Here is a 22,551-nt window from a genome sequence, read left to right on the forward strand (position 1 = left end):
ACAGAGTAGTTGGCAGTAGATGGTGGAAAGTTAGATTGTAGGCCGTGGAAATAGTCATAGGTCTATTTTAGAACAAAATCCAAGTAATTATTTTCTACTTTAAAAACTCTATTATCATAATCTCTCATTTAATCCTTAAAACATCCAGAGGAATATCGGACATGTTTTTGTTGACCACTTTGTAAAGGGAGACAGAGAATTGGTAAAGAGACAGAGAATTGGTAACGAATTGGTAAAGGGAGACAGAAAGGGAAGTTATTTGCACAGAATGCTAGAGCCATAACTACAAACAGCCTTGTGCATACTTTTCTAGTTTGCATTCAGTAATAAAGACCGATATTTGACATTTTCATGGGTTTCTATTCCAAAACTATTTTGGTTTTATTGTAATTAGGTCACTGTCTCTGATCACTCATGATTTCTCTTCCCTGCCGTCTCTCATGACTGGATTGATAAAAATCTGTGCACTAAACTCTAAACTCAGTGGGTAATTTTTCTAGATAGGCGTGAAAGGCCTAAGGAAAATGAAATAGATCAACCACTGATGCAAGTAACTACTTCACAGGATAGGCAAGGTGGTTACAAAGGCAGAGTTCCTTGAAAACAAATCCTTAAATGCTAGGCATTTAAATTTTAAATTTTAAAAAGATTTAGAAGTATAAAAATATATTTTTATTAAGTAAGCAACATCTTTTCAGGGCTGTTTCCTCATCTTTAACGGTTTGCAATTTTTCCCTCCCCAAAAGCATATATTCGATCCAATCAGACAATGGGCTGGGGAGAGAAGGCCATAGAGATCCGATCTGTGGAAACTGGTCACTTGGATGGTGTGTTCATGCACAAAAGGGCTCAAAGACTAAAATTCTTGTGTGAACGCAATGACAAGGTAATAGTTCCCTTATGGATTCTTTTTAGTTGCTCTATCTTTTAATAATGGCTTGTTTTCCATGGAGTTTGATGATTAATTTCCTTGGAGTTTTGATAAAAATAATCAAGGAACTTTTTAAACGTTGCTTTTTAGTCATGTTTGTGAGGATTGGGGAATGTTTTGCTTTTTGCTATGAGGGGATAGAGATATTTTTCTCTGTAGAAATTAACATATTTGGGTTTTGCTTTGTATATGTATTTTTAACTCTATTAGATGACCAGTCTAGGCTATAATTAGAGATAGGGAAGATAAAAGCTGCCAGTTCAGTTGGCTGGAATTCTTTTGTGAGTGGAAGGAACCGCCGTGCCATTTGGGTACATCAAAAGGTTCCTCTGACCTAATGTGTGTCAAGAAGATGCCCCTTGTTAGTCTGTGAGTGGTGAAATTGCTTCCTAGGTTTGCATGACAGAAATGTTGCACAGTAAAAATCATCTTATGCAGACATAACATACCTCCTGCACCAGAGACCCCATGGCATGACACCCCCTTTGCTTTTCAAAACTGGCCATATCACTCCAGGGACGATTCCTGTGGCACCTTCCTCCCAGGAAGTCCCTTTTAAACTGGCTTTGGAGTTGAGCAGATAGATGGCCAGGGGCGTTGACCCATCCCTGTTTGCCAAGGGAGAAGGCATCGAGGGTGGAACTGATTTTTACTAAGCCTACCCTTTCTTTCTTCTGCCCAGTCAGACAAAGGCATGTCTGACTACCTAAGGCAAGACACCACGACCTTTGAAACTTGGCCCTGAAGAACGTTTCCACCTTTTGCGTCACATTGACAGACTAGCAGTCAGCCCAGTTCTCAGATTTAAACATTTAGTCATTTAATGCAAGAAAGAAGAAGCTACACATATGTCCTTGGCAGCTGGTCCTGCTTGCCCGATACATCCCAAACACAAAGTCACTTCACCTCTACCCACTGTCTTCTGCAACCCTACAACTCAGTTTCAAGTGGAGTTTTGCCTACAGATTATCTCCCAAATCTGTGACCTTGAAAATCTCTACAGCTCAGACCTAATCCAGGATTTTGTCAGCTTGTTGGCTTATACTTTCCTAAGTATGTTTACCATAGCTGCAACTATAGCATTCTTTGAATTTCAGGCATTTAAATATTTTTATCATGCATGTCATGTCCTTTAAGATTTATTAATAAATGGCACAAAAATTCTATTTATGGGTTATATGAAGTAATTAATACATTTTTTGTTGATTTTTAAAAAGAAATTAGGTTGTTAAGGAGTCTTCCGTGATGCTCATTGTGTTTTTTAAAGACATTTATTTATTAGAAGGTGTTAACAGTAGAAGTGGAAAGAAATAACTTCAGAAACATCCATTTTTTTCCTTTGTTGTCTCACAATATGCCAACGTGTAAGGAGTTAGTAGTAACAAGCCTGAGTTGTAATAAAAATTGGCTGCAGATGGTCACTCCTTACAAATTATAAATTGATAATTGCCCCAGAGGTTTTTGTGGGTTGTTTTTGTTTGTTTGTTTGTTTTGGTGACGGAGTCTTGCTCTGTCGCCCAGGATGGAGTGCAGTGGCGTGATCTCGGCTCACTGCAACCTGAACCTCCTGGGTGCAAGCAATTCTCTTCCTCAGCCTCCTGAGTAGCTGGGATTACAGGAGCCCACCACCATGCCCAGCTAATTTTTTGTGTTTTTAGTAGAGATGCGGTTTCACTATCTTGGCCAGGCTGGTCTTGAACTCCTGACCTCATGGTCCGCCTACGTCGGCCTCCCAAAGTGCTGGGATTACAGGCATGAGCCACCATGCCCAGCCTTTTTATTTATTTATTTATTTTTTGAGACAGAGTCTTGCTCTGTTGCCCAGGCTGGAATGCAGTGGTGTGACCTTGGCTCACTGCAGCCTCCACCTCCCGGGTTCAAGTGATTCTCATGCCTCAGCCTCCTGAGTAGCTGGGATTACAGGTGTGTGCCACCACATGGTATTTTTAGTAGAGATGGGTTTTGTCATGTTGGCCAGACTGGTCTGGAACTCCTGGCCTCCCAAAGTGCTGGGATTACAGGTGTGAGCCACTGCACCTGGCCTCAGAGTTTCTTTTGAAAAGGCTCTTTGGGAGTCTAAGCTTCTCGTACTTGACAGTGTTGAGGATGATGGTGGCTTAGATTCCCTGGCTGGAAGTGCTTCATGACCATGGTAACCATTCCCTCTCTTTTCTTGCTTTTGCAGGTGTTCTTTGCCTCTGTTCGGTCTGGTGGCAGCAGTCAGGTTTATTTCATGACCTTAGGCAGGACTTCTCTTCTGAGCTGGTAGAAGCAGTGTGATCCAGGGATTACTGGCCTCCAGAGTCTTCAAGATCCTGAGAACTTGGAATTCCTTGTAACTGGAGCTCGGAGCTGCACCGAGGGCAACCAGGACAGCTGTGTGTGCAGACCTCATGTGTTGGGTTCTCTCCCCTCCTTCCTGTTCCTCTTATATACCAGTTTATCCCCATTCTTTTTTTTTTTCTTACTCCAAAATAAATCAAGGCTGCAATGCAGCTGGTGCTGTTCAGATTCTACCATCAGGTGCTATAAGTGTTTGGGATTGAGCATCATACTGGAAAGCAAACACCTTTCCTCCAGCTCCAGAATTCCTTGTCTCTGAATGACTCTGTCTTGTGGGTGTCTGACAGTGGCGACGATGAACATGCCGTTGGTTTTATTGGCAGTGGGCACAAGGAGGTGAGAAGTGGTGGTAAAAGGAGCGGAGTGCTGAAGCAGAGAGCAGATTTAATATAGTAACATTAACAGTGTATTTAATTGACATTTCTTTTTTGTAATGTGACGATATGTGGACAAAGAAGAAGATGCAGGTTTAAGAAGTTAATATTTATAAAATGTGAAAGACACAGTTACTAGGATAACTTTTTTGTGGGTGGGGCTTGGGAGATGGGGTGGGGTGGGTTAAGGGGTCCCATTTTGTTTCTTTGGATTTGGGGTGGGGGTCCTGGCCAAGAACTCAGTCATTTTTCTGTGTACCAGGTTGCCTAAATCATGTGCAGATGGTTCTAAAAAAAAAAAAAAAAAAAAAAAAAAAAGGAAAAAAAAAAAGAAAAAGAAAACGTGTGCATTTTGTATAATGGCCAGAACTTTGTCGTGTGACAGTATTAGCACTGCCTCAGTTAAAGGTTTAATTTTTGTTTAAACCTAGACGTGCAACAAAAGTTTTACCACAGTCTGCACTTGCAGAAGAAAGAAAAAAATTCAAACCACATGTTTATTTTTTTTTTGCCTACCTCATTGTTCTTAATGCATTGAGAGGTGATTTAGTTTATATGTTTTTGGAAGAAACCATTAATGTTTAATTTAATCTTAATACCAAAACGACCAGATTGAAGTTTGACTTTTATTGTCACAAATCAGCAGGCACAAGAACTGTCCATGAAGATGGGAAATAGCCTTAAGGCTGATGCAGTTTACTTACAAGTTTAGAAACCAGAATGCTTTGTTTTTACCAGATTCACCATTAGAGGTTGATGGGGCAACTGCAGCCCATGACACAAGATCTCATTGTTCTCGATGTAGAGGGGTTGGTAGCAGACAGGTGGTTACATTAGAATAGTCACACAAACTGTTCAGTGTTGCAGGAACCTTTTCTTGGGGGTGGGGGAGTTTCCCTTTTCTAAAAATGCAATGCACTAAAACTATTTTAAGAATGTAGTTAATTCTGCTTATTCATAAAGTGGGCATCTTCTGTGTTTTAGGTGTAATATCGAAGTCCTGGCTTTTCTCGTTTTCTCACTTGCTCTCTTGTTCTCTGTTTTTTTAAACCAATTTTACTTTATGAATATATTCATGACATTTGTAATAAATGTCTTGAGAAAGAATTTGTTTCATGGCTTCATGGTCATCACTCAAGCTCCCGTAAGGATATTACCGTCTCAGGAAAGGATCAGGACTCCATGTCACAGTCCTGCCATCTTACTTTCCTCTTGTCGAGTTCTGAGTGGAAATAACTGCATTATGGCTGCTTTAACCTCAGTCATCAAAAGAAACTTGCTGTTTTTTAGGCTTGATCTTTTTCCTTTGTGGTTAATTTTCCTGTATATTGTGAAAATGGGGGATTTTCCCTCTGCTCCCACCCACCTAAACACAGCAGCCATTTGTACCTGTTTGCTTCCCATCCCACTTGGCACCCACTCTGACCTCTTGTCAGTTTCCTGTTCCTGGTTCCATCTTTTTGAAAAAGGCCCTCCTTTGAGCTACAAACATCTGGTAAGACAAGTACATCCACTCATGAATGCAGACACAGCAGCTGGTGGTTTTGTGTATACCTGTAAAGACAAGCTGAGAAGCTTACTTTTTGGGGAAGTAAAAGAAGATGGAAATGGATGTTTCATTTGTATGAGTTTGGAGCAGTGCTGAAGGCCAAAGCCGCCTACTGGTTTGTAGTTAACCTAGAGAAGGTTGAAAAATTAATCCTACCTTTAAAGGGATTTGAGGTAGGCTGGATTCCATCGCCACAGGACTTTAGTTAGAATTAAATTCCTGCTTGTAATTTATATCCATGTTTAGGCTTTTCATAAGATGAAACATGCCACAGTGAACACACTCGTGTACATATCAAGAGAAGAAGGAAAGGCACAGGTGGAGAACAGTAAAAGGTGGGCAGATGTCTTTGAAGAAATGCTCAATGTCTGATGCTAAGTGGGAGAAGGCAGAGAACAAAGGATGTGGCATAATGGTCTTAACATTATCCAAAGACTTGAAGCTCCATGTCTGTAAGTCAAATGTTACACAAAAAAAAATGCAAATGGTGTTTCATTGGAATTACCAAGTGCTTAGAACTTGCTGGCTTTCCCATAGGTGGTAAAGGGGTCTGAGCTCACACCGAGTTGTGCTTGGCTTGCTTGTGCAGCTCCAGGCACCCGGTGGGCACTCTGGTGGTGTTTGTGGTGAACTGAATTGAATCCATTGTTGGGCTTAAGTTACTGAAATTGGAACACCCTTTGTCCTTCTCGGCGGGGGCTTCCTGGTCTGTGCTTTACTTGGCTTTTTTCCTTCCCGTCTTAGCCTCACCCCCTTGTCAACCAGATTGAGTTGCTATAGCTTGATGCAGGGACCCAGTGAAGTTTCTCCGTTAAAGATTGGGAGTCGTCGAAATGTTTAGATTCTTTTAGGAAAGGAATTATTTTCCCCCCTTTTACAGGGTAGTAACTTCTCCACAGAAGTGCCAATATGGCAAAATTACACAAGAAAACAGTATTGCAATGACACCATTACATAAGGAACATTGAACTGTTAGAGGAGTGCTCTTCCAAACAAAACAAAAATGTCTCTAGGTTTAGTCAGAGCTTTCACAAGTAATAACCTTTCTGTATTAAAATCAGAGTAACCCTTTCTGTATTGAGTGCAGTGTTTTTTACTCTTTTCTCATGCACATGTTACGTTGGAGAAAATGTTTACAAAAATGGTTTTGTTACACTAATGCGCACCACATATTTATGGTTTATTTTAAGTGACTTTTTATGGGTTATTTAGGTTTTCGTCTTAGTTGTAGCACACTTACCCTAATTTTGCCAATTATTAATTTGCTAAATAGTAATACAAATGACAAACTGCATTAAATTTACTAATTATAAAAGCTGCAAAGCAGACTGGTGGCAAGTACACAGCCCTTTTTTTTGCAGTGCTAACTTGTCTACTGTGTATTATGAAAATTACTGTTGTCCCCCCACCCTTTTTTCCTTAAATAAAGTAAAAATGACACCTATTTTATGTGGCATGAGTTTCGAATATGTTCTGACCCTTCAGAATGTTTCCTTCCTGTGAGGATCCATATTTTATGCATACCTGCCTACCCTGAGCTTCCCGTACCAGAGCAGGCTCCTGTATTTTGCTATTTCAGATGACAGGGGCTTGCCCAAGGCCAGGTATAGATTACAAAAGTAGCAAATGTTTGTCTAAAGACCTCAGAGATGAAGTGGGAGATGAACCTCCATCACCAGGTTCCTGAAGACAGTATGGAGTAAAGCTGGTCCTTAAAGAAATGTCACATTTTTGCAGTTTTGAATTTGGATCAAAAAATACAACAGCATGATGTCTGTAATAGGTCAATTAAAGTAGCTCTTTCTCAGTTTGGTGCATAAATACTAACTTGGGTTTAATAATTGGAGCCCCTTCAATGTAAGGTCATTGTGTCTTCAGCGCTGGGGTTCCCCATCAACCCCCCCATAGGCCTGGTAGGCATGATCGCCGTCGGGCAAATCTGGGGCCATGCTCTCAGTGTTGGCACCTCGCCTTAGTCTCCAGGGCTGCCCGTGCTGCATCATCATCAATTAGGCATATTAATAAACCACTTCGTGTTTCATCCTAGAAACATGCTATTCTCTCTAAAGGGAAAATATAACTCCTTAGGCTGTCAGATGAGTAAGTTTTTTTTTTTCCTACTTGGTGTGTTGCAGTTGGTGGATGATTATGAATAAAAATCTGGTGGAGTTTTCTTGGGACCATCATGCAATCCTCCTGTTCCAATTTTCTCCTCCACTGGTTGAGATTTCACTTAATGGGAGCAACGGGGGATCCAATCAAGACCCTTCAGCCAACACCAGCTCTGTGTTTTAGCATCACATTCAAAAATACAGTAAAATTGGTGCATTCTCTGGCATCTCCTTCAAAAAAAAAAAAAAAAAACAAACAAACAAAACAAAACCCGTGCTTCATTTAAGCAGAAGTAGCTAATGTATTCTATAAAGTAAAATGGCTAAGGAATCAAAACTTGGGGAAAGTAGTTACTATATTTTCTTACGTGAGAAGATAGGCACTCAAATACTGCGTTCCCATACCTGGTCTACCTCTCCCTTAGGTTAATCAGCCTGTGTCCTTGTGTCAAATTCTTCCTGAAACAGTCTCATCTTTGCCTCTGTCCTGCCCAGCTTCTTTGCTGTTATCTTGTTCACTATTTCCTAAGGGATACATAGCCTGCATATTAGCCGAGATTGTTTCTCAAATTTAACCACTTATTAAATTTAAACTCTGCTCCTCCTGAACTACCAAACATGCTGGCACAGAGCAAGCACTCAGAGTCCCTGGCTGTTTGCTTAAGTAGCATGAAATAACTCCTATGTTAATCCAAGGGAAAACCAGCCTGCCTGTGCAGTGTGGGACGGGCAAGGAAGTGCTCTGGTCTTCCTCTTCTTCCAGGTCTTCCTTCCAGGAAGTGCTGGGGAAGTGTAGTCCCAGGAGGGCTGCAGAGCTCCATTGCACTGGGCATGGGCCATCCTGTCCCATAACAGGTTCCTAGTACTTACCAGTCCCTCCAGCTGGAGCTTGGGTGCTGGAATAACACTGCAAGGACTCTTGATTTCTGAGACCAATCTAGTTTGCTTGTTTCTAAGAAATTTGGATTAGATATTCCAGCACAAAGTGACTTTTAAAAAATACTCATTTCTATTTTGGCCAAAAGTGTAAAATTCAGGCAAGTTACTCACCAGAGTTCTGTGGAGGGATGCGGACAGAGCTGACCAAGGCCATTCTGCTCTTACCCTGATGTAACAGCCCTTAGAAACTAACATTAAGTAACTGTTCCACAATAAATGGTATTGAGTACCTCTTGATTCTTTGACAGCTTTATTGAGATACAATTCACATACTGCATAAGTCACCCATTTAAGTAGACAATTGGGTGGCCTGTAGTCTATTCAGAGTTGTGTGTCCATCACTAACAATTTTCCCACGTTTTTATTACCCCAAGATGATACTCCATACCCCTTTGCTGTTATCCTCCAATCTCTGCCTCCCTCCACTCTGCCCCCTCAAGCTTTAGGCAGTCCCTAATCTACTTTCTGTCCCTATGGATTGGCTGTTGTGGACATTTATAGAAATGGAACCAGTCACCATGTGGCCTTTTGTGACTGGCTCCTGTCATGTAGCATAGTGTGTTATAGCTCATCCATGTTGTAGCACGTGTCAGCACTTCATTTCTTTATATTGCCATCCTTGGTTCTTAATCTATGTTCCTGGTGTTATACTTGCAACTAACTCACTGACAGCTAGGTCCCCAGCCTCAAAAGTTGCAGAGTTAACCTTTCACCCCTCAGGGGAAACAGCCCCAAAAGCAGCTCCAGAAATGGGTTCCTCCTAGGTGTGTTTTCAGTTTAAGCTCTTAGAAACCCAGGGATCTCTTTCCACAGATGATCTTGATGCCAAACGTAGGCTTATCATAGGTCAGATGCAGCGAGTCAAGTTTTGGAATGGGGGACCGTTCTGGAAGCACAGTTGCCAACATAGGCCCTGCCTGCTGTGGAGAGCAAACCTCCAACCCGGAAAAGTTGGGATCTATGGGCGTTCTTTGTGTCCAAATCCTAAATCAGGGTTCTGAGGTTGTCCCCTCTAACTTATGTGGGCTCACCCCTAGGAAGGGACATAAGAGCTGGCTTTGCTGAGCTGGGATCCTTTTCTGATCCTTGGCAAACACATGGAGCTGTCACATTTCACAAGGGCCTTGTCCTGTTGGCACCTCATGTATCTTACTGTCATAGAGCACATTTCCTCAGTGCTGCCTCCTGGAAGCCCTGACTGTCCCCAGACTGTCATTTGCAGGGTACGTCATTGAGTAAGTGTAGACACTAGTAAACTTCTGGGAACTTGGTGGCATTCTGGTCAATCTAACAAGTTGAGCAACCACTGTGTGCTGAGCACAGTCTTAAGGTATGGTGCTCCTTTGGGGAAATGCAGAATTAACTAAAGGGGTTACTTGGAACAGTGCTTAGTATATTCCAGATGTTAAAGCAGAGCCTTTAGTAAGTGTGTGTGTAAAAGAGACTTAACACTTTTAAGCTACAACAGCATGCAGCTGCTAGAATAGCTGGCGTGAGTTTGAACTGCATGGATTACGAAGTGAGAGATGACCCCCTTTGGTGGTCAGGTCACACTTAGATACACTTATAGAGGGACCACCTGTAGCCTCATCGCAGGAGAGGGACACAGCAGGACAAGGCTCCAAATTAGATCCAATGAAGATGGGTCAAAAGAAAAGAAAATAATTGGTAGAAGTAAGCATATATTCCTTTAAAAATCAAAATATCATTCAACCTTGATCAATCCATCCTGCTTTGGGGTAATTAATGATAGCAATGGGATTTTATGTATATTTGCTACGCACCAGGCCGTGTGTACTAAGGGCTTTTACACTTGCCTTCTCAGCCTATAGAAGAGGAGACTAGGCTACCCATTTGTTAATTTAAACTTATTTGGAGAGACACAAATGCAGGAGCCAGAAGATAGAGCTAGGAAAAGTGGGTTGAGTGCCCTGGGAGCAGCATCGGCCTCCAGTATGAAAAGGACAATCAGAACTGTCTAACGGGATGAAACAGGCAACTTCAATGGCTGGCCAGGTTCACGGCCCTTGAGGCAGGCTTTGTTGGGCTGTAGAGGACCTGAAATCCCTTCAGCACCCCGTAGAATCACCTACCTTGAGGTAAGTTGGGACTAGGTATGTGTAAGGGTGGTGTATTAGTCCATTTTCACGCTGCCGATAAAGACATACCCAACACTGGGTAATTTATAAAGAAAAAGGTTTAATGGACTCATAGTTCATGTGGCTGGGGAGGCCTCACAATCATGGTGGAAGGCAAGACAGAATGAGAGCCAAGTGAAAAGAAAAACTTACGGAACTATCAAAGCTCATGAGATTTACTCATTACCATGAGAACAGTATGAGGGAAACCTCCCCCATGATTCAATTATCTCTCACCAGGTCCCTCCCACAACACATGGGAATTATGAGAGCTACAACTCAAGATGAAATTTGGGTGAGGACACAGCCAAACTGTATCAGGTGGTGAGCAATTCATGAGCCACTCAAGAACACTTCTGAACTCATCAAATGGCTTCAATATTCTTTGTAAATGTGAATGGACTCTGGATGCAGTAGAAATGGGTTCTGCCATGGTAGAGGTGGGGACTTCTTCAGGACACATGGATGTCTCATTGGCTCAGCGCACTCTCTGGGACCTCTCTCTGGAAGGCTGGCTACACTTGATTATTCCCGGTACTGTGGCTGGCTCCCCAGTGAACCCTACAGCAACCAGGTTAGGAAATCTACAGGCTTTCCCACCGCAGGAAATGGGCGGATCCTGCTAGATCAGAGATCAGGCAGAGTTCTGTCTGGCCCTGGAGAGCTTTCCACAGGTAGTCAACCCTTTAGGTGGCAAAAGAGAAATGGCTGCATGTACCCAGACCCAAATCTGTTAGATTTCCAACGTTAAGCATAGAGTGCCCATATATTTTTTTTAATTTTAAAAGAGTGTCGTCATATAAGGCCAATTAAAGAAATAGTGTGGATCTTAAGTTTGAATTCAAAGGTCAAGCAATGAGAATAGATACTGCCTTGCTGTTGGAGTTTATAGATAATATTTGTCAATGTCTGTATCTAATTTTTAGTTGTCTAATATGGAGAAAATTCTGATGCCCACAGGTACATGATCACAATTTTTAAATAGTTAACCTTGCAAGATAAGAACCTAAAAAATATATGAAGTCAGCAATTTTGGGATACTTTTTAATGATTCAGGTGTAACAGAAGCTTTTAAGATAGGCACAAAAATAAGTCAACCTGTCAACACAAGCTATCATTTTTCTTGATCTCTAGTGTAAAATATATAATTGTGCACATTTTAAAAAAGTAATATATTTCACAATATATTGCAGAATGTTATTTCAACATGTAATCAGTATTATAAAGAATGGGATAATTGACTTTTTTCATTTCATACTAAACTTTGAAACCTGTTATGTATTTTACACAACATTTGCCAGGTCCCACTAGCTGCATTGAGCACTGAATAGCCACATGAGGCTACCATTTTGCCAGAGGCTTTATGTACATTATTATGGTTACTCCCCTCTGGAGTCTTTGGAGGTAAATATTGTTGTCTACATCTTACTGAGCTCCTAAAAATTACATAACCTGCTGGAGGTTGTTTTAGAGTTTATCAATGGAGGAGCCAGGATTAGAACCTAGTCTGCTAATCTTTAAAGGCTAATTTTTCTGTACTTCAGTGCATATTAGTTTGGTTAGTGTTTTCAAGGAGTTTTGGGCACACTAATTTTTTGAGTCAAAGGCTTGCTGACTAAGATGTGGTTTCATTGGAATGTTACCTGTAATGCAGGCTGGGGTGGGATCCTGATAAACCCATTGACTCATTTCATTCATTCACTTTTCATCAAGAAACCGGGATTTTAGAGAATAGATTTTACACCCCCTCATCTATAAAGCTTGTGTTCCCTGCCTGTAATAAAACAAATGCAGAAGAGCCAAAAATAGGTGGAGGACACAATTTGCAAATCTCAAAGGGGTGAATGTGGTGGTGCCTGGAGCCTAGGAAGACCTCATTCCTCCTCTGGAGACAGACGTGGCACCGTGTTTCCTTCATTTCCTTGATGCTGTGAGGAAGAGGGGTATCAGCCGAGGTGTTTCATGTCCCCACAAGAAGTCGCATGCCACATACTGTAGGATCCGTGCAGCCGATTGGCTGCACTTCCCGTGGCAGGTGGTGGGTGTTGTAGACAGGATGCCGTGTCCTGTTCAGGGAAGGAGGTGGTAGCAACCTCTGAGTCACATGATAGGAGCGAGGTGGAGCCCATCCTGCCTGGAAATGAAGTTGTCAGAGACTTCTCATAGTTGTGGGGGAAAATCCCACTCCACCATTATGTATAGTTACTGGTGCCTGTCGCATAACACGTAAAAGAAGGAAAGGAACACAGACTCATGTGGTAGAAACTGAGAAAAGTGACAGTAACTCTTGGTGTCCTTGCAGCATGTTCATACATAACCTAGTCACTGACTAAGAGGATGTTGAGTGTCCATTCTTCCTGCATCACTCCGTACTGCAGGAAAAGCTCAGGAGGTCTCCTAAGAGTCCAGGCTCGAAGCTCTCTACTGCTAAGTGCAACCCCATTGTCTTAGTTTATATCTTTAATGCTTTGATGCCAATCTAGAGAGCTAGATGCAGGTGTTTCCACCAAGTTGTTTATGGGGAAGCCCTCATTGTAAATTGAGAGTAACACAGGAGGATGCCCATCTTGGAATCCACCAGAAGTAATAACTTAATCACCTAGGACTGAACCTTTATCTTACACAACATTCCTCTTAATTTCAGATAATCAAGTTTAGCTATCAGAATCTTTGTTTTTTTTTTTAACCTACATAAAACTGAACATGAAGGATCTGCATCAAAATAAGTGTTTTATGACAGTGTGCACTAACTTGTTTATCTATTCAACAAATACAAAGTACCATAGTATGTACAAGCCACTGTGTTACATGCTGAGGTTATTGTAAAAAGTTAGAGGGTCTGATTTGAGCACAGATTCCAAAAGGAATTTCACTATAAGGAATTTAAAAGATATAGTGCTTAGAGAACCCTGAGGAACACTTGAGAACAGTGCAGCCTGGGGCTCGAGAAAGACTAACGGCAAGGCTGCATACCCTTTCCAGGAGTGAACCTTTAAGCTTTCTAGATTCATGGTTTCAAACCTTAAGCATGCATCAGATCCCATAGAGGGCTTATTACAACAGATGCCTGGGCCTCACCCCAGAGTTTCTGTTGTAAAGATCTGATGTGGGGCTGGAGAATTTGCATTTCTAGAAAATTTCCATGTGGTGCTGAGGCTGCTGGTTTGGGGATTGCACTGTTCCATAGAAATTGCTAGTAAAAACAGGACAATTAAGGACATTGGAAAGTAGATTAAGATAAGCATAACCATATGAGGCGAGTTCAAGATCAGAAACAACTGCCAGAGGGGAGAGTGCAGGCTGTCACCCACACTTCTTAAACCTCATTAGAAAATTCATTAATGAGAAGGAATCAGAGACTTAGGCCTGACTCCCTTGTCTGTCCCTGCTTGTTTTGTACATACACATTGACTGATACAATAGGATGCTGAGTTTTGCTCTGGAAGCTGTGAGACGTGGAAGGCTTGTACTGGTTCTCAGCAGAGGCAGCCAAGCCTTTGCTGCCCACTTCTCTCCCAGAATAGTGATGGGTTTTGCATGTCAGGGCCAAAACAAGCTGCCAGGTCCCTGGAAGACAATTTCGCTGCCAACATCTCTGTTTAAGAGGCCAGGCCCATTTAGGAAATTTGGCCTGGAGAGGCAAAAGAGGGATCTGTTATGGACTGAATGGCCCCTCTCCCCCGACCCAATTCATATGTTGAAGCCCTCACCCCCAGTGTGACTGCACTTGGAGTTGGGACCTTTTTAAGGTAACTAAGGATAAATGAGGTCATAAGGGTGGGCCCTAATCCAATAGGACTTGTGTCCTTATAAGAACAGTAAGAGACACTAGGATGCACATGCACATGGAGAGGCCACGTGAGGACACAGCAGGGAGGTGGCCTTCTGCAAGCCAAGGAGAGAGGTCTTGGGAGAAACCATCCCTGCAGGCACCTTGATCTTGGACTTCCAGCCTCCAGAACTGTGAGGCAATGAATTCCTGGTGTGTTTAAGCCACCTGGACTGTGGCGTTTTGTTCTGGCAGCCCAAGCAGAATTACACAGGGTCCAACCAAGGTGAAAGAGTGAGCCTCCTGAAGCTGGCAGTGAAGACAAGTTTAGAAGGGGGTTCTGCAAGTGGAGGCTTGTCCAGTTTGTCCTTCATCAGGTGATGGGACCTCGGAGAGGTGAAGTGTTTTGGGAAGTGAGCAGTCACAGAGGCAGATCCTATAGGCTGGAACAATGAGTGTTCCATGGAGTGACGCTCCAGACCTAGCTCCTGTTTCCAGATGACTTTAAAGCCCCAGAGGTTCTGGTGCAACCCTACAGGGAAGGAGCCATCCCCTAAACACTCTGTAGGTTAGATTCCTCAACATTCTAACCAGTGGGGGCTTGGAGCAGATTGGACCTGATTCTTAAAAATAATGTGCCACTTTTTGCCCTGAAGTTGTGAAGCAAACTCATATCTACTACACATTGTATATATAAATAGTAGGCTAAGCTTATAGCACTTTTTAAAACTTATTATTATGGAAAAAATTTAAATATATACAAAAATAATAGAAAGAATGGACCTCTGTGTATCCATCCCCCTAGGTCAAGTATTATCAATTTACAGCCATCTTTTGAATCTATTCTCCCACCCCACTATCCTCATGGCTTAGTTTGAAACAATACCCAGACGTTATAGCATTTATCTGTAAACGTTTCGGTATCCATTTCTAAATCCACTAAACCATTATTATACATTAAAAAACTAACAATAATTCCTTAATTTCATCAAATATTCATTATTCAAATGTACTTGATTGTCTCATGTTTTTTTGAAACAACATGTTTGAATCAAGATCTAAATAAATAAAACACATTGTAATTGGTTGATATATGCTTCTTTGAAAAAAAAAAATTAGGATTATTGATGCTCAAATGGTCCCAGCTTTGGCCAGTAGAAATCTCTTCACATTGGCTCTTGGGTGTTTTAGGTATGATGACAGTAGTCTTTGATAGCTTTCTTGCTTTCTGGTATGACAAGTTCCAGGATCATTTTGTTAATTTCCCACCTTAGCCCTGGAGTCAGCCATCTCTCCAGGAATTAGGATTCTTTTCATGGGAAATGGTATTTTGCAATCACAAGCTGGTGTTTGTGTTGCTTACTGCTGCAAAGGTCATTTTTCTTCATCTTTTCAATGTAAAGTTTTCTTTCTTTCTCTTTCTTTCTTTCTTTCTTTCTTTGCTTTTTCTTTCCTCTTTCTCTCTCTCTTTCTTTCTTTTCTTTTTTTTTGAGACAGGGTCTCCCTCTGTCATCCCAGGCTGGTATGCAGTGGCACCATCTTGTCTCACTGCAACCTCCACCTCCCAGGCTCAAGCAATCCCCCTACCTCAGCCTCCCTAGCAGCTGGGACTACAAGCACGGCCACCACATCCAGCTAATTTTTGAATTTTTTTTGAGAAACAGGGTTTCACTATGTTGCCGAGGTTGGTCTCAAACTCCTGGGCTCAAGTTGTCTGCCCGCCTCAGCCTTCCAAAGTGCTGGGATTATAGGCCATGAGCCAAAGCGCCTGGCCATTTTTTTTAAATGATAGAAAATGCATCATGAATTTATACTGAAATTGGAGGTGATAGTATTTTTCTGTAACCTCTTTCAATCTCATCATCTATATCTCCTTTCTCCCAAGGTCCCTCTTCCCAATAAGACCACCAACATCATGGGTTTGCCACAATACATACACCACAGGCTCAGAGTAACATCAGCACTATCACCAACCACCAACAATATGATGACTGAAAACAGTTTGAGGCTTGTTTAGGAGACGAGTTTGTTCAGTTTTTGTTTTTTCTTTTGTTCTTAGAGTGGTTATGCCACCAACTGAGTATTTCATGTTGGTTTGCATTTTTTAGGGATTGCTTTTTATAAATTTAACTTTGTTTTATTATTATGTAAAATATTACCTGGTTCTAAAGCTAAACCTACAAACAAAATCTAGTCAGAGTATTCAAGCTTCCCTCCCTTCTGCACCAGTGTCCACCTTATCTTTGTAAGTAACAATCCTTATTAGTTCTTTGTTTATCCTTCCTCTTAAAATATATATGAACAAATGTGTTTGTTTATTTGTGTTCACCTTTTGATGACCTTACTTTTCCCCACCTTGCTTTGTTTATGGAATAATATACCCTAGAGGCCACTCCATTGCTCACTTTTATAAAGATATTTTGCATTCCTTTTCTAAAACAATTTTTAGGTAAAATTTACATACCATGAAATTCACTCATCTGAAAGGTCCAGCTGGACAAGCGGTAGTATATTTTTAGAGTCATGCAGCCATTGCCACAATCCAGGAAGGCCCCTCCTGCCTCTTTGCATCCAACCCTCTGGTCTCAGTGAGCTGCTCTCTCTGCACACTGCTATGAACAGTTGCGCGGTATCCCTCTGGAGGGATGTATCATAGTTTTTTCAGCCAGCTTATTGATGGGCATGTGGCTGTTTCTAGTCTTTTACTAATTAAATAATCCTTCAATGAATGCCCTGGTGCACAGGTCTTGCTTAAATTTTTGCCATCATATCTTTGGAACAGATTCCTAGAAGAGTTTCTGAGTCAAATTGTAAATGAATATGTAATTCTTCTAAATAGTGCCAAATCCCCCTCTGAAGTATTTTATTCCCAGCAAAAAATGTTTGAATGTCTGTTTCACCACAGCCTCACCAACAGCATATGTTGTTAAACTTAGAAATTGTATCTCAATATAGTTTCCATTTGCATTCATCTTACTGTCAAGGAAGTTGAGCATTTTTTTCATGAGCCTAAGAGCCAACGCATGATGTTGGTAGTGTTATTGGGAACAGAGACCCTCAGGATGGGAGAAAGGAGATAGAGACAATGAGACTGAAAGAAGTTAAAGAAAAATTCTATCATCCTGAATTTCAGTATAAATTCATGATGCTGTAAAAAAAAATCATTAAAATGCATCCCCACTGGAGGAGGCAGGGAAGCTTGAATAATCTGACTAGGTTTTGCTTTTTCTGTGAGATGTCAGCTCCTATCTCCTGCCCATTTCTCTAGTCTTTTTCTTGATTATTTTTAGAAACTGTTTATACATTAGGAATAGATTTCAGGCAGGAGAATAGGTCTGGAGACAGGGAACTTAAGACCAATTCGTGCTAACTTCCTAAAGCTGAATCAAGGGAAAACACCAAGGTCTGGGGGCAGGGAATCTGAGGCCAATTCCTGCTGACTCCCTAAAAGGGAAAACACCTGGGGCTGGGGGCAGGGAACCTAAGGCCAATTAACTCCAAGATCCAAAAGCTAAACCAAAAGGAAAACCCCCATCTCCCCACACCAAAGTAGCAAAAGATGAAAGGCTACTCTCCCTACAACCCTCCCCTTTCTACCACGTCTCAAATGGAAAGGGAGAGTGCCGTGGGATGGCTGTGAGCCAAGCAGGGGCCATCCCTTCATCTGCTTAGGGCACCAATTCACCTCAGCCTTTAATAAGCCACGGACCCAATCCTTTAGATAAGCGGTAGCACATAGGGACTGTATTAGTCTGTTCTCACTCTGCTATAAAGAATTGCCTGAGACTGGGTAATTTATAAAGAAAAGAGGTCTAATTGACTCACAGTTCCACATGGCTGGAGAAGCCTCAGGAAACTTACAATCATGGCAGAAGCAGAAGCAGTCATGTCCTTCTTCACATGATGGCAGGAAGGAGAAGAATGAATGTTGAGCAAAGGGGGAAGCCCCTTATAAAACCATCAAAACTTGTGAAAATTCACTCGCTATCATGAGCACAGCAGCATGGGGATGACTGCCCCCATGATTCAGTTACCTCCCACTGGGTCCCTCCCACGACACCTGGGGATTATGGGAGCGACAATTCAAGATGAGATTTGGGTGGGGACGCAGGCAAACCGTATCATTCCACCCTCGGTCCCTCCCAAATCTCATGTTCTCATGTTTTAAAACACAATCATGCCTTCCCAACAGGTCCCCAAGGTATTAACTCATTTCAGTACTAACCCAAAAGTCCAAGTCCATAGACTCATCTGAGATAAGGGCAAGTCCCTTCCACCTATGACCCTGTAAAATCAAAAGCAAGTTAGTTACTTCCTAGATACAATGGGGATACAGGCATTGGGAAAAATATGTCCCTTTCAAAGGGAGAAATTGGCCAAAACAAAGGGGCTAGAGGCCCTTTGCAAGTCCAAAATCCAACAGGGCAATCATTAAGCCTTAAAGTTCCATAATGATCTCCTTTGAGGCCATGTCTCACATCCATGGAATGCTGTTGCAAGAGGTGGGCTCCCATGGCCTTGGGCAGCTCCACTCCTGTGGCTTCACAGGATACAGGCCCCCTCCTGACTGCTTTCACTGGCTGGTGTTGAGTGTCTGCAGCTTTTCCAGGCACATGGTGCAAGCTGTTGGTGGATTTATCATTCTGGGATCTGGAGGACGGTGGCCCTCTTCTCACAGCTCCACTAGGCAGTGCCCCAGTGGGGACTCTGTGTGGGGGCTTCCACCCCACATTTCCCTTCTGCACTGCCCTAACAGAGGTTCTCCATAAAGGCTCTGCCCCTGCAGCAAACTTTTGCCTAGATACCCAGGCATGTCCATATATCCTCTGAAATCTAGGTGGAGGTTCCCAAACCTCAGTTCTTGACTTCTGTGTACCTGCAGGCTCAACACCATCTGTAAGCCACCAAGGCTTGGAGCTTACACTCTCTGAAGCAAGGACCTGAACCATAGGTTGGCCCTTTTTAGTCACATCTGGAGCTGAAAAACCTGGGACACAGGGTACCATGTTCTGAGGCTGCATAGAGCAGGGGGGCTCTGGGCCCAACCCACAAAATCATTTCTTCCTCCTAAGCCTCTGGACCTGTGATGGGAGGGGCTGTCATGAAAGTCTCTGACATTCCCTGGAGACATTTTCCCCATTGTCTTGGTGATTAACATTTGGCTCTTCATTATTTATGCAAATTTTTGAAGCTGGCTTGAATTTCTCCCCAGAAAAAGGGTTGTTCTTTTCTATCACATCATCAGGCTGCAAATTTTCCAAAAACATTTATACCCCACTTCTTGAATGCTTTGCTGCTTAGAAATTTCTTCTGCCAGAGACCTTAAATCATCTCTCTCGAGGTCAAAGTCCCACAGATCTCTTAAGCAGGGGCAAAAAGCTGCCAGTCTGTTTGCTAAAGCATAGCAAGAGTCATCTTTGCTCCAGTTCCCAACAAGTTCCTCATCTCCATCTGAGACCACCTCAGCCTGGACTTCATTGTACATATCACTATCAGCATTTTGGTCAAAGCCATTCAACAAGTCTCTAGGAAGTTCCAAACTTTCCCACATTTTCCTGTCTTCTTCTGAGCCCTCCGTTTAAAACTGTTCCAACCTTTGCCTGTTACCCAGTTCCAAAGTCACTTTTACATTTTCAGGTATCTTTATAGCAGCGCCCACTCTCTGTGGTACCAATTTACTGTATTAGTTTGTTCTCACACTGCTATAAAGAAATACCCAAGACTGGGTAATTTATAAAGAAAAGAGATTTAATTGACTCACAGTTCTGCATGGCTGGGGAGGCCTTAGAAAACTTACAATTATGGTAGAAGGGGAAGCAAACACATCCTTCTTCACATGATGGCAGCAAGGATAAGTGCTGAGAAAAGAGGGAAAAGCCCCTTATAAAACCATCAGATCTCATGAGAACTCACTATCACAAGAACAGCAGCATGGGGGTAACCACTCCCATGATTCAATTACCTCCAACTGGGGATTATGGGTACTACAATTCAAGATGGGATTTGGGTGGGGACACAGCCAAACCGTATCAGGGACCTCAAAAGGAGTACTTAAAACCCAGAAAACTTTGTAACCAGGCCCTTGAGCTGCTTGCTCGGGCCTACTCCCACCCTGTGGTGTGCTTTCTTGCTTTAATAAATCCTTGCTTTTGTTGCTTCATTCCTGTGTTTCATTCGTTTGTTACTTTGTGTGTTTTGTCCAATTCTTTGTTAAAAATGCCAAGGACCTGGACAACTCACACTCAAGGCCCTCCTTCCAGTAACAATTTTATTGTGTGTTATACATTGCAAGTAGTTACCCCAGTCTGTTATTTATCCATTTTATTTTCTAAAATTATTTTTTTATGTGAAATAAAAAGATTTTGTTTTTATGTAGTCAATAATCTTTTCCCTTATTTCATCTGGATTTTAAGTCAGTAGAAGCTTCCTCAATTCTGGTTAGAGAGGAATTGGCTCATATTTGCTTCTAGTGTTGGTATGGTTTCTTTCTATCTTTTTTAACATTCATTTTATGATTTGTTTTTATTGATTGTGATACACAGTTTGGGGAACAAATTTGATTTTATATTTTCCATATGACTTTCTTAATAGCTTATATATTAGAAAGCCCATTTTAGTCCCACTGATTTAAGGTGACATCTTTATCCTATACTACATTTGTTTATGTAATTGGGGCTATTTATGAACCTTCTATTTTGTTCCGTTGGTTAGTCAATCATGCACAAATGTCACAGTATTTTAATGATAGGGACTTTATATCTTAAACTGCTGTTTTCTTTGATTAATCACCTTTAAATATTTATTAACTCCCTATTAAGAAAAAGAAGGCTTTGGCTAATTTATCCCTCATTTCTTATTCCTCTTCCCAACTTTTCACAATTATATATTTTTATTATTTTATTGGTTACATTTTAAATTAAAGGTTGATTCTTAAAATAACATTTTGATATCAACTTTATGGAGGCATAATTTACATACAATAAAATGTAACCATTTAAAATGTACGTTTTGATGAGTTTTGACAACATATACCTATGTAACTACCAAGACTATAGAAATAAACAACATGTAGACATTGTTTTCAGTTGCATCCAATTTAGTCAGCCTGTGCTAACTCCTCATGGAATGAGATGTGTGCATTAGCCCCACACCCCCTCCCTTTGCCACTTCTTTCCCTTTTCCACCTCTCAAATTCTAACTTTATGATTTCACACTTGATAACTTTTGAATTTTGTTCTGTTACTATATTTAAAGTTATTTAAAGATATTTATATGAAAGTTGCAAGTAGATACATAGTATTTACATTATTCTAATTCTACATATTATTCTCTACCTAGTCAAGGGGTTGCTAGAATTACCTTTCCCTCTACAACCAAACGTTATGATCTCTATACCACTGAGAGGAAGGTATATCTGATATCTGGATCAAATGAATGATCTTTTCCTTTATTTTAATTGCTCAAATCTTGGTTGACATTTTAAGCATGGTTTTTCTAAGTAGCATGTTTTTTCCAAGTAGCATGTTTTTCCTAGAATCCTGAAGTAGTTTTAAAAAAGATATCTTCATCTTATCTTCAAAATCATCCAATTTTTCACTGATATTACCCATTGAATGCAATCCACTTTTCTTAGCAACATCCCTTCTAGACCACTGCCACTTCCTGTTCCAGCCTGGATTGGTTGCTATCTAGGACTGCTGGCCAGATATCATTCTGGAAATTCCCTTCACTGATCACTTCTCCTCCCCCTACCTGGGTTAGATTTCAAGTGTGTTCTGAATTTCACTTCCTTCTCTTTTTTTGTTTTCCTTCCTTATTTTCTTGAAGCACATCCTTGAGTAACTTCCGTAGAAAAGGTACATGGGAGGAAAACTTTAAGTCCTGTCTTTCTGAAAATGTCTATATTCATTCCATTTCACATAATTAATTGATAGTTTACCTGGGAATAAAATTATATATTAACATAAGCTTCCCATAGAATTGTGAAGATATTGTTCCATTGTCTTCTATCACTTGATTGGTGCTGACGTGAGGATTCCTACCAGAAAGACTTATTACTTTGTACTTGGAAATTTTGCCCTCTGGAAGCATCTAGCATTAAAAATAAACATCTTTGGTGTTCTGAATGCTTTCATTACATTTGGATTCATTTATTGGATTTTTTTCAATTATCCTAGTTGACATTTAGTAGTCTCTTTTAACCTGAAGTATTCTGATCTATCCCTACTTTCACTAACTCTGACACTGCAGGATCTCCTATTAGTTGGTTGTTCTACCTGGTAGATTGACTCTTTTTCTCTTTATCTTTTTGACTAAAGTTTATGACACTGTCTTTCTGCTTGTTTACTGAAAAATCTTGACTTTGACTTTCAGCCTGTCTACTCATTTATGTTTTCA

The 22,551-nt window shown here is 41.2% G+C and overlaps 1 protein-coding gene across 55 annotated transcripts in view, besides 2 other annotated features; it reads left to right on the forward strand.

Annotated features, from left to right (window-relative positions):
- Positions 1–6,641, forward strand: part of MAP4K4 (mitogen-activated protein kinase kinase kinase kinase 4) — a 196,984-nt gene extending 190,343 nt beyond the window's left edge. For all 55 annotated transcript variants that reach the window (NR_169279.1, NR_169280.1, NR_169281.1 and 52 more), the window contains 2 exons: positions 747–886; positions 3,117–6,641. Coding sequence is in view for 51 of the 55 variants with exons in the window: in NM_001395002.1 (NP_001381931.1) it covers positions 747–886; positions 3,117–3,200 (224 nt within the window). In the remaining 4 variants the exon portion in view is untranslated. The remainder of the gene's footprint in view (positions 1–746; positions 887–3,116) is intronic.
- Positions 5,405–6,175: an enhancer, noted in NCBI's record as "OCT4-NANOG hESC enhancer chr2:102509916-102510686 (GRCh37/hg19 assembly coordinates)". NCBI's record gives its function as "activates a minimal SCP1, AML or CMV promoter by ChIP-STARR-seq in naive and primed H9 embryonic stem cells {active_cell/tissue: H9 hESC(naive and primed)}" and the evidence as "EXISTENCE:reporter gene assay evidence [ECO:0000049][PMID:30033119]".
- Positions 12,536–12,625: an enhancer, noted in NCBI's record as "active region_16305". NCBI's record gives its function as "activates an Ori minimal core promoter by ATAC-STARR-seq in GM12878 lymphoblastoid cells {active_cell/tissue: GM12878}" and the evidence as "EXISTENCE:reporter gene assay evidence [ECO:0000049][PMID:35858748]".

Source organism: Homo sapiens, chromosome 2 (assembly GCF_000001405.40).
Source record: "Homo sapiens chromosome 2, GRCh38.p14 Primary Assembly".
Classification (NCBI taxonomy): domain Eukaryota; kingdom Metazoa; phylum Chordata; class Mammalia; order Primates; family Hominidae; genus Homo; species Homo sapiens.